This window comes from Homo sapiens, chromosome 8 (genome assembly GCF_000001405.40).
Source record: "Homo sapiens chromosome 8, GRCh38.p14 Primary Assembly".
Taxonomy (NCBI): domain Eukaryota; kingdom Metazoa; phylum Chordata; class Mammalia; order Primates; family Hominidae; genus Homo; species Homo sapiens.
The window spans coordinates 17,112,664-17,125,067 of NC_000008.11; the positions used below are offsets into that span (position 1 = coordinate 17,112,664).

At 33.9% G+C, this 12,404-nt stretch overlaps 1 protein-coding gene across 19 annotated transcripts in view; it reads left to right on the plus strand.

Annotated features, from left to right (window-relative positions):
* The window catches only part of MICU3 (mitochondrial calcium uptake family member 3), a 111,403-nt gene that overhangs the window by 85,426 nt on the left and 13,573 nt on the right, over positions 1-12,404 (plus strand). For 14 of the 19 annotated variants that reach the window (NR_182124.1, NR_146233.2, NM_181723.3 and 11 more), the window contains 4 exons: positions 1,430-1,538; positions 3,780-3,937; positions 6,044-6,112; positions 7,625-9,979. Coding sequence is in view for 12 of the 19 variants with exons in the window: in NM_181723.3 (NP_859074.1) it covers positions 1,430-1,538; positions 3,780-3,937; positions 6,044-6,112 (336 nt within the window). In the remaining 7 variants the exon portion in view is untranslated. Of the gene's footprint in view, positions 1-1,429; positions 1,539-3,779; positions 3,938-6,043; positions 6,113-7,624; positions 9,980-12,404 lie in introns of those variants that run through there. The other 5 variants (XR_007060729.1, NR_182123.1, XR_001745514.2 and 2 more) reach the window with 2 other exon arrangements.

A 12,404-nucleotide genomic window follows, 5' to 3' on the forward strand; every position in this document is an offset into this window, starting at 1 on the left:
TCTGTCATTTTTAAATTTATTTCTTAATCTCATGTCTGCCCCCCAATATATTGATATTTTTGTTTTCCCTTTATTTAAAAATATTCCATCCTCGTGTGTTTTACTCCTACTAACAGTAGCCTGTCACTCAGACACTGCTGTTATGGCAGCAGGTCGCAGCATAAACTGGTGCAGAACCACAGCAGTGACTAGTTTTTTTGGCAACAAGCTCTCCACATCACGACAAACCCTTTCTGGTGCAGTCCTCCTAACTGATTCAAACAGCCTTCTACAGAAAACATGATGGGTGGGATAGGGTCACAAAGCAGGATCCAAGATTGGAATGGTCATAAATGATCAATGTAAGGAAAGGAAAGTAAACAATGTGAGGAGAAAAGACAGTAAGGATTCTCCCATTGCAAGTAAAAGATGAGTTGTAATTGAAGTAACATATACCAAAAGCTGAGTGTTTGGGTAATAAATCATTTGATCTAATCAGTAGCTGGCTTATATGAAACTAGATCCCTGTGGGGCTTTCCCTGGCCTTCCAACACGGCCTTGTTAGTGTCCCTTCCTCTCACCCTTGTATTAAGTAAGAATTTGTTAGGCCTCAACTCGGCCTTCTGCTCTTCTCTCTGTTCTCTTTCTTAATTATGTTAATTTGCTGAGGAGAACCCATTAACTAAATGCAGCTCCTCTTGTCCAAATGTGTATTCTCTAAGATACATTGTACTTATTTCAAAGACTTTCCCTATTCAACTGAAGTAACAGCAGTGGCAATAATTGCAGTTTATACACATGACATTCCAGAAGAGGCCACCCTGACCACCAGTCCTTTACATTATCCCACACCAGCCCAGTGTGGAGGCACCCAGAACTGTACCTCTGAGGTCATTGCACTTCCTGCCACTGCCCTGGCAGTGCTATAGTGACAGGAACAAGTGTGAATACACTGCGTTGACATGGAGTCAGCACTTTGATTTTGCATTGTCATTATAAAGACATTCATGATCTAATGATGCTGAATTCCATTTGAGGAATACATGTGCAGGGGAAACTTTTTTATGGCTTTTTTTTCTGTTTTTTTTCTTTATTATCATATTTACCTTACAAGGTTAAAAAAAATCAGGCATAAAAGAGAGGATTTTCAAAATTGAAACTTTTTAATTCTTTTTTATTGGAGCTTTTTTTTTGGAATTTAGTGCTGACACGACAGTGTTTACAAAATACTTTTACCTATTATTCTAATAGCAGGCAGCACTACCCAGTGAAAGTAAGTCTGAGTGAATTTTACATTCCAGTTGGAGAACAACGTCAAAATGTGCCCTGGAAATGTTTACTTACAAGATACATTGCAAATGCTTAATCTGTTTTTTTCTCTTATGTGTAGATCCTGATTTTAATAAATTTGGCAATACTAAATGTATTTTCATTTCCTTTCCCAATATAGGGCATCACATTTGATGAATTCAGGTCATTTTTCCAGTTTTTAAACAACCTAGAAGACTTTGCAATAGCCCTGAATATGTATAACTTTGCAAGTCGTTCTATAGGGCAAGGTAAGTAATCATCTACAAAAATTAAAAGCAAGAAGTAATACTACATTGTTTCTATAGATTTTGGCAACCAATTAATTAAATATGACATATCACCCATCAACTTGTGTGAAAGTCCGGTGTATACTTTCAGTGACAAGTCAGTTCTGGTACTTGTCAGAAAACAGCCATGAGGGAAGAAACCTCATGGCCACTGGGTGACATTGAGGGACTTGTGTGTACCTATGGAGGAAGCAGCTGGTCGTGCCCTGTTCTTACAGGGTGGTATTTTATTTTACTAATTTAATGCCTGCTGACTCAGAAACTGGAATTTTCTCAGCAGAGCCACCTCTTAGCCATGGATTTACATTAACCAACTAACCTGTAAAATTGAGTATCAGTTTTGCATAATTTTCAAATAAATACAGTGGTCATAGAATCCCAAGTGCTGGTGTCCTCAGAGCCAGCTGTCTTTGGCTATAGGTGGACTAAGAAGCCAAGCCCTTTTCCTAGGATCCTGTGGCTGTGATCACCTTCCCTCTCCTCATGGCCATGTCCTTTTTAAAACTTCTTGCCCTATGGGGACTTTGTTTGTCTTAAGGTGATTTTACCTGTCTCTGCCATAATCTGTGTTAATGCACAAGCTTAAACCCCAGAGGAGGCCGGGCGCGGTGGCTCACGCCTGTAATCCCAGCACTTTGGGAGGCTGAGGCGGGCGGATCACGAGGTCAGGAGATCGAGACCATCCCGGCTAAAACGGTGAAACCCCGTCTCTACTAAAAATACAAAAAATTAGCCGGGCGTAGTGGCGGGCGCCTGTAGTCCCAGCTACTTGGGAGGCTGAGGCAGGAGAATGGCGTGAACCCGGGAGGCGGAGCTTGCAGTGAGCCGAGATCCCGCCACTGCACTCCAGCCTGGGCGACAGAGCGAGACTCCGTCTCAAAAAAAAAAAAAAAACCCCAGAGGACAGGCTATTATTATGTTCTAGAGAGAAGCCAAACTGCAGTCCCTAAGTGCTGATGATAATTTCTCTTTCCCAAAAACATAGATACTGATTTCATCATGTGGCCTTATTCATTTATTCATTGAATAAGAGAAACCTGCAAAATTTTATATTTTACCCTTTCTGTAGTCTAGATGTTCAAATATGGCATATTCTCAACCCATTTTAGTGTTTTAAAGCCAAAACCTTTGGCAACTCTGCCTCTACAGACTAGCCATTACTGCTGTGATAAATCTCATCAACGTGCAAAGAAACAAATCAATATCTGGTTACTGGGTTCAGAATAGAAAAGTTGTTTGTTTTTTAGAACTGGAAAATGAAAAAAATTGATGGTGTCACCTGTCTTGCAGGCGCTAGAAATACGTCCATCTCTTTTTGCCATCACAAGTATCTTTATTCAGGTTATTACCTCTTAAAAGGAATATTGTAGTAGCCACCAAAGTGACAATCCTGCTACTAGCTGCTTTCCTCTTTGATGTTTCCTACACACCTGACAGAATAATCTTTCTTAAAAAATTAACTTTTCTATGACACATCTGCAATGGAAAACTCTTAAGTTTTCCAATTGCCTATTGAAGAATGTTCTGGTTCCCTGCCTCAAAGTCCCTGTGCAGAGTTTCTTGAGATCCTAGATGTCCCCTGCTCCACCCAAACCAGACTCCCTGTTTTCTGAATGTGCTTTATGCCCTCCCACCTCCCCGCCTGCCTTGGTTCATTCATGTCATCTCATCTGCCATTTCTGTCATCTCTATAGGCTGAAATTGTCCTTTTGTGTTCAGCTCAAAGACAAAATCACATCCTTTTCCTAACCACTGCCTTTCTCTCCCTTCTCCCTGCTCCACACTAAACACAGAAGTGATCACTCATCTCCAGATTCTCATAGCACTTTATTGGTAGTTTTTGTGTGGCCCCTGTAATGATTATTTGGGCAGGGGTCTCATTTCCCATCTGAACCGTAAGTTTCTTGAAAACCTATTCATCTTACTAACTTCTAAAGTATCTGTCACTGATAGTAGGTGCTCATTAAACATTCATCGAATGTGAATGCATTATTAACCTAAGATACAGCTGTTGCTTGGCTCTTTTCATTTAAACCACAAAAATGTTCATTACCTAAAAGACAGCAGGATTAATGGAAGGCCATGTTGCATAAGATCATGATTCACATTTAGAAAACAACTTCTTTTACAACCTTTCTAGTAATTAACACATATTATAAAAATAATAACAGTCTATTCTTTTTCTATGTAACATTTATCTAGATGAATTTAAACGTGCCGTCTATGTAGCTACTGGACTCAAATTTTCACCACATTTAGTGAACACTGTCTTCAAGATTTTTGATGTTGACAAAGATGATCAATTAAGTTATAAAGAATTTATTGGAATTATGAAAGACAGACTCCATAGAGGATTCCGGGTAAACCTACACATTTTAAACCTATTGATATCCTTTTTAAAGTCTGAGGGAAATCAATCCATCTAAGTTGAGAAATAATTTATCTTAATTTCTTAAGGATATAAACATGAATGCTTTATTTGAAAAGAAAAAACATAGGCCTTACTTCCCTTAAAAAACAATTTGAGGTGATAAAAGAGAATGCTTTTTAAAAAATGTGAAATCAGTTTGACCTTATAATAATTTATTTTCATAGTCAGTCTAATGTCTTCATCCTAGTTTGTGGAAGAAAAATGTTGCCAAATATTTTCAAAAAATTTAGTCTGCATATTAGCTTTTCGGACTTGTTACTATACAAATAAATATCACTATTTGTCACTTTATTTTATTTTAATTTAATTTTATTTATTCTTTTAGAGACAGGGTCTCACTCTGCCACCCAAGCTAGAGTGCAGTGGCATGATCACAGCTCACTGCAGCCTTGAACTCCTGGGCTCAAGTGAGCTTCCTGCCTCAGCCTCCCAAGTAGCTGGGACTATAGGTGCATGCCACCATGCCTGGCTAATTTATAATTTTTTTTACTAGCAACGAGGTCACTCTGTTGCCCAGGCTGACGTTGAACTCCTGGGCTCAAGCAGTCCTCCTGCCTTGACCTCCCAAAGTGCTAAGATTACAGGAATGAACCACCACACCTGGCCACTATTTCTCATTTTAGATGACACAGATTTCCTCTAGGTAACTTGATGCTCTTATGTTACTGCATAATCATTACTTTTTAATATGAAAAATAAGTTAAAAATTTTTTTATCGAAATCTTACAGTAAAAAATAATTACCAGAAATTCAGTGATTTTTTTCCCCCAAGAAACATGTTTTAAAGCTGGAAATATAGTATGAATCAATAAATGTGTACATATCTAACATATTATGGATGTGCCACAAATAGAAAAAGAGAAAAAATGTTCTGTTAAAATTAAGAGCTAGAATATTCAATCTTCCCTCTTGCAAGAATATCCCTAAGTTTTATCCTTTTTTTTTTTTTTTTTTGAGATGGGAGTCTTGCTCTGTTGCCCAGGCTGGAGTGCAGTGGCGCAATCTCAGCCCACTGCAACCTCCGCCTCCCGGGTTCAAGAGATTCCCTTGCCTCAGCCTCCTGAGTGGCTGGGATTACAGGTGTGCACAACCGTGCCCGGGTAATTTTTTGTATTTTTAGTAGAGACAGGGTTTTGCCATGTTGGCCAAGATGGTCTCAAGCTCCTGACCTCAAGTAATCCTCTTGCCTTGGCCTCCCAAGTGCTGGGATTACAGGCATGAGCCACCGTACCCGGCCAGTATTATACATTTTAAAAGAGAAAAAGTTATATATCCAAAACCTCAAGATTCATCTGAGACAGTATTTTTAAAGATTTTTAATGACTTTAAAGTCCAAGCTACTTGAGTAAAGATGCTGTGTACTTAACTGCCACCTGGTGGTTAGTTGTTAACATTTTAGGTGATGCCAGAAGTACTTGAAACAAGTTACATTGAAAATCGTTTATTTTGCCTCAAAAATTTTAGAGGAGCAAGATCAAATTAAATATAAAGTACGCTAGAAACGTTTGCCACTGTACTGCTCTCTTAAGTGTTATGTTTTTATTTTTATTTATTACATACCTGTGGCCTTTAGCATTTTATTTACATTTGCCCTTTTTTTAATTTTTATTTTTAATCAACAGATAATAGCATACAAATATGTATTTATGGGGTAAATGTGATATTTTGGTATATATATATAGTGGAATGATTATATCAAACTTATTAACAAATCTATCAGCTCACATTTTATTGTGAGAACATTTTAAATGTACTTTTTAAAAGCATTTTTGAAATATGAAATACATGATTACTAACTATGGTCAACTTACTGCACAATAGATCTCAAAATCATATTCTTCCTGTCTAATTGGAACTTTGTATCCTTTGGTCACCTTCCCCCTTTCCTCCCCAGTCCCCCAGCCTTCCAGCCTCTGGTAATTAACATTCTACTCTCCACTTCTATGAGTTTGACTTTTTAGATTCCACATGTAAGTGAAATCACGCTGTATTTGTCTTTCTGTACATTTGCACACTTTGCTCTTCTGTTTTACAGGGTTATAAAACAGTCCAGAAGTACCCCACTTTCAAATCCTGCCTGAAGAAAGAACTTCACAGCAGATAAGTATGTTAGCTTCTATTTGTCTAAATTTGTTCAGTAACAATAGGGATCATAATTTATTTTTCTGTTATAACATTTAGAAAATAGCTGAAAGAAATAGAATTATCTAATTTATTTTTAATTTTTAAGTCATTAGAGTATCTTGATTGAAAAATTTTACGTTAAACCTGAAGTTTTGTATGTGAGCAGACAATGTAATAAATCAAAATTGGACTTTTATAATATAGGATAATTAGCACCCAAAGAATATTTGTTACTGTTTTTTAGGATCATGATTCTGAGCATCCACAGAAAATAACAGCTTATTTGTTTAGTTATTTTAGTTGTCTGGCACTATATTAAGTGTTCTTCCACAGGTAGTATCTCATTTAATTCTCACAGATATCCCATTTAACAACAGAGAAAAATCAATGTTTAACAAGTAACTTGCATAGGATAACTTGCTAGTCAGTGGAAAACCAGAATTTAAGCTTCATTCTATCTTATTCATTTATTACTTCCTATTTATTATAACTTATTATTCCTTATCACATTTTTATTATTTATAACCCAAAAAATGTGTCAAACTTGTTTCTAATCTCCAAGCGAGGAGTTTGTTTTTTTCTTTTTTCTTTCAAAAGTCAACTGTAGCGATAAAATTTTGGTCAGTTGTGGGTTTTTATTAGTTAGATTTCTGCAATGGAGATTTTATTGTTGGTTTAAAAATGCTTGCAAGTATATTCATGTATATGTTTCTTGCTGTTTTTCTCAAGCTTGAAGCATAGATAGATAGATAGATAGATAGATAGATAGATAGATAGATAGAGGTGTTTCCCAAAGTGGTTCCTCAGCACATCAATGCATACTTAAAAAAAAAAGTTGCTTAGTCAAGTTTAAGAAATATCATAATAAAACTGGTTAAATAAGTTTCTTCCCCATAGAGTTTATTAGATTGTAATATGCTACTATGCATTTTGTCTTGCCAAAAGGAAATGGCAGTATTCAGCATTTTACAAATTAGGTTTGAGATCTAGTGTTTTATGGAACCCATTTTGGGAAATACTCATCTAAAATGTTTAGAGGCAAGCAGGCTTACTTATTTGTCTAAGGTGGTAACCGTTGTAGCTGAGTTAACAAAAGAAGTCAGGTCTTCCTAATCTCCATTTTAAGGAATTTTAAACTGCCTTATAAATTCTTAAACTAAACATTGAAAAAAAAGGAGGACCATTGTCTGGTATGTCCACACAGGTAGTGTTCCCGACCGACTTGTAGTATCACACTGGCACCACTGATTCTAAGTAATAGTGCGTAGAGCCATACCTGGAAGTGGCTACCTTTCTCTAAGCCTAAGATTGAGGATTGCACAGATTACTAAACAAAACACTCAGCTTTTAAGTCTTTGTGTCTTATATTTTATGTGGGGTGTTTTTATTGAATTCCTTACGTTTCATATTATTATAAGAATATTTAACACTATCACCTCAGAATTATATCCTAAATAAATATTGCTTTTGTGTTATTATTTTTTTTAATTAGATACTCCTAAAACAAAGTTTAAAGGATTACTATCTGTGTGACAAATAACAAGAAGCAACATTTTGAGAATGGAAGCAGGTCTGAGGTCAGAAGAAGTAGAGAATGAAGGAAAAGGTGAATGCTATGAAATTGATATTTTTTCTGGAACTGAATTCTTAAACATAAAACAGATAAAATGCATCTTGTTACTACAAATGTTATATATATAAAATCAAGTTGAGCTTTGCCTTGATTTGCTGAACTCTCTGCACTTTTTCATTCCCTTCAGAAGTATATAGATACTTCCGGTGACTACATATGAATGTACTTTCAATATTATTTTTTTATTTATTCATTAGAAATTTTCCTCATTTCAAAATAATTTATGACTCATGGAATGTTGATCGCCTAAAAATGAACATCGCATTTTCTTTGATTTTGGACTGTGAACTTATTTTCAGAGATGAATATTGCTTGAGATTTATAATACCCTTAGAATTAAATTCCTGTTATTTGCCCAGTTTTTAATTACACTGAGATAATTTTGAAAAGAAATAGAAATTAAGCTACTATATAAAACAATTGTTTACGTGTACTTTTAACTTTTAAAAGTACTTAATTAACATATGTTGTTTGACTTGTATAAAGTTTTTAAAAATTGTTGTTTATTTGCCAAAGTCAACAGAATGTCTGTTATTGTTTTATGTATACGGTAAAGAAATTTAAAGTGTAGAATTTTCCTCCCCCAAAAAGTCATGTGTTGATAGTAGAAGCAGTGGTAGTTGTTGTAACAGTAATCATTGTCATTGTCATTATCTTCTTAAACATGAAGCTGCTCCTGATCATAGGTGGTACACGTTAATAACACTAGTAAAAATAACGTCTTACACTCTGTAACTTACTGCATATTGTTAATGTATGTCTAGCATCAAATGAGTATTGTAAAAGACTAATATAAAATGGTTTATAAGACTGATGTATATATTAAGTAGAAGCTAATATTTTTGTTTCTTGCAAAAGGACCACTTGAAAAGTGATGCTAAACAGCCAGTAATAATAATTTAAATATAATTTATTATTTCAAAAGAATATGTCTTAAAAGGGAAAATAAAAACTTTCTGTTGAATCACAACAAAATTAGATTTGTACATAGAGAAACAATTTGATAATACTTAATAGAAATCTGTTCAATTAAAAATGCTTAGTTTATACAAAGATACTACACAAAAATAGAACAATTAGTCTGAATTAACGTATTTACATATTGCATATGGAAGATAAGTTCATTTATCTTCCTTTCTAAGACATATTTAATGTAGGTTACATACACTCCAACTATTACTTTGCTTTTGCATATGAAACTAGAAAACACTGACTTTGTTTTTATAAGTTATTAAATGTGAAATTGATCTGCATCAGCTTATTTATAAAAGTAATGTTATTTCCAAGAAAATGTTACTCTTAGCATTGATTTTGTATGTTAGACTTTTTACATTGTTTATCTAATATTATTTATGACAGTAATTTTAAAATATATTATTCATAAGTTCAAGGATCCCATATAGTATAAGAATATAATTTCACTTGCTTTGAAAGTTGATTTAATTGACTGACTAAATGAAAATGCCTACCCACTCATATAACATACCTCAGGTCTATTTTACCTTACACTGAATGTTCTTAATATGATTTGGTACCTAAAGTAATTGAAAAAAATGCAGTTTCCTTTAATCCTTGACTATAAGTTATACTATGTTGCGTACATGGCAAATCCTGCAAATATAGATTAAAAATTAAATTAGCCCATTGAAATCCTTTATAATTCTGTCATTTTCCCAAGGAAGAATAGCATTGTACATATGCAATCTTTATTTTATTCTTTATTGCTTATCAGAGTGAGTGGATGAAAACATTTGTAAGGCTGCAACATAATATTAAAATGTGAATAAATAAATGTTCTGATAAAATAGAAAAGAAAGTAAATTACAGTGATTTCCATCATATTATCACTCTTGAATTTTATCATCTATAAAATGAGAGATAAAAATATCTCACTGAATTGTTACTTATATCAATTTAAAATTTGCTAGTGGTTTGAAAATAATAATGTACTGACTACATGTATGCTGTTATTGTCAGTGTTTCCTTCTATAAACTGTTCTTTGGAAAAATTAAGTTATACATAAAATTCATATTAAACTTTTTACAGAAAGCATACATGATAAACAGTTTATGGTACTTCTCAGAATCATTTCATAATAAGCAATTTATTTAGCTTAAGTTCCAACTTACTGTTCTTATTATAAATTGCAAAGCAACCTGTCTTACATTCTTACATTATCTTAAAATAAATATTTCTGCCCTTGAATCAAGAAACATTGTACTTGGCTTTTATATGTATCTGTGGACTAATAATGACTTTCTGAAAATGTAACCTTCAAACTTTGGAAATCTTTATGGGTTACTAAACCTCTTTTGATTTTATTCCCTCTTCTGTGGCAACACATGCTAATGACATTTATCTCATCAACACCTTTGTGGGTAGGTAACTCACAGAGCTATAAGGCTTCTCAAAGTAAATTGTAGGAATTCCTAAATTATAGAATTATGGTCATTGGTACTGGAAAACTTTTCAGAAAGTTTATATGTGACTTAATGGAGTATTAATTTTGTAGGTATCATCTTACTAAGGTAACACCTAGAAATGTTTCAAAATACACTAGTTATTATCCTACTACTTATAGCCATATAGTAAATTAACACTTTTTAAAATATAATGCTTTTACTTCCAAAAGATATAAAAATATGAATTCCATAATATTCAGAAACTGTAATAAAAATTGTAAGTGATAAGAAATCACTGTGGTTTGTAAAAAATTGGTAGCATTTTTAATTTCTTAGTAGTTCATAAAATAATGGTACACCTTGCAATGTTGCATCTTAGATTCTGTGAAATACTTTATTTGTAGTTCTCTATATAGCATAATCAGTATTTTTGGCACACATCTTAAAAATGGAGGAATATACCTATAATTGTGACTATACGCACAGAGAAAGTTTTCTGGGAAAGATAAATTTTGTCCAACACTGTGAAGAGAGAGAGGTGTACTTACGAAAAATAGAATAGAAAAGATAAGAGAATGGAGAGGGATCTGAATGAGGATAGATTTTTTTTTAATGGACTGAGTAGACAGTTTTTGGAAAAATAAATGTAAAGAAGTGCAAGTTAAAATGACAACATATCTTTTCACCTTGCACATTGAAAGGATAGTTATATAATGTATAGTATTGAGCATGGGGGGCAATTCAGAACTCTCGAATGTTGCTGGTGAGCTGTAAGTTTGGGGGCAGCATCTTTGGAGGGCAATAGAGAAATATCTCACAGTTTTACTTGTGGGACTATCATATCCCAATACATGGGTTAGTAAATTTATATGTCAATAAATAGATTTATTCAATGAAATACTATATAACTATTAAAATAATAACTGAAAAAAGTAGGAGGTCCACTTATGTTTATATGACATGATCTGTAAAATATTTTAATGGGAGCATAGTAAGGTATGAAAGAATGTGTACTGTACTAGTTTGTGTTTAGAATATACTTTGATTGCATAGAACTATGTTTTAGTTTTATTAAAGTTATATGCATATATTTTAAAAAGACAACTCTAAAGTCTTTAAAAAAAAAAAAAAAAACCACCATCCCTCTGTTGTGCTTCTCAGAGGCAATCACTTTCAAATCTTTTGGCAGTTTCTTTTGGTATCTACCTTCATATTTCAAGATAATATGTTTATATCAACATTTTTGATTGGTCTTATTTTTAGCTTGTTAAGTATTTATTGACTTCCTACAATGGAAAAGAAGGATTTGTCTCCCTTACTCAAGTCCCCCTCCAAGACACACAGACATGTTTCCCCTCCACTATCCTTTCAGTATACAGTATAACCTGAGTTAATTATTATGTCATCTTCAGTTATTATATTTGCTTCCTTATACATCTTTCCCTAGAGTTGTTAATTTTCTCCTTTGCAGTTTGCTTGTTTGTCTACCTTTTATTTAGTTATAATTAACTTCTCCCAGACTGGTGACCAGAACTATATATTTAGTTATAATTAACTTCTCCCAGACTGGTGACCAGAACTATACATGCATGGTTAATATATTTAAATATGTAAGGTAATAGGTAAGGTTTTGTTATGTTAGAAATGCCTGCTGGAGCTTTCCATCCTACTGTCCCATCTAGAATGGTTGTCCTCTAGGCCTGGCCCAGAGGTGTTATTCTAGGATCTCCCCTCTCTCTCTGTTCAAGATTGTATTTAACCCTCTCTATCTCCCAGGTCATCCTGTTTCTTATCTTTTATTTTTTGGAATAGAGCATAAACCTCCATATTTCCTGAGAAAGTTGCACAGTAAGTAAATTTTGAGATCTCGTGTGCTGAAAACACCTTTATTGTACCCTCCTACTTTGGTAACGGCTCGTCCAGGGATAGAAATAGAGTATGGTATACCTTTTCCCTCAGAATTCTGAAAGCATTGCCCCACTGTCTTCCAGCTTCCAGTTTGTTCCCAAGAAATCAGATGCTATATTCTGATCCATTACCTTTTTCTCTTCTTTCTAGGACTTAGTAGAATCTTCCCTTTGCCCCTACTATTCCAAAATTTCAAATTAATGTACCTTGATAAAAGTCTTTTGCTTGATGTTTGTGCTGAGCACTCAACAGTCTTTTCAACCTAAAAACTCATGGCATTCATTTCTGGAAAAAAAATGTAATTATTTATTTGAGAACTTCTTGCCCT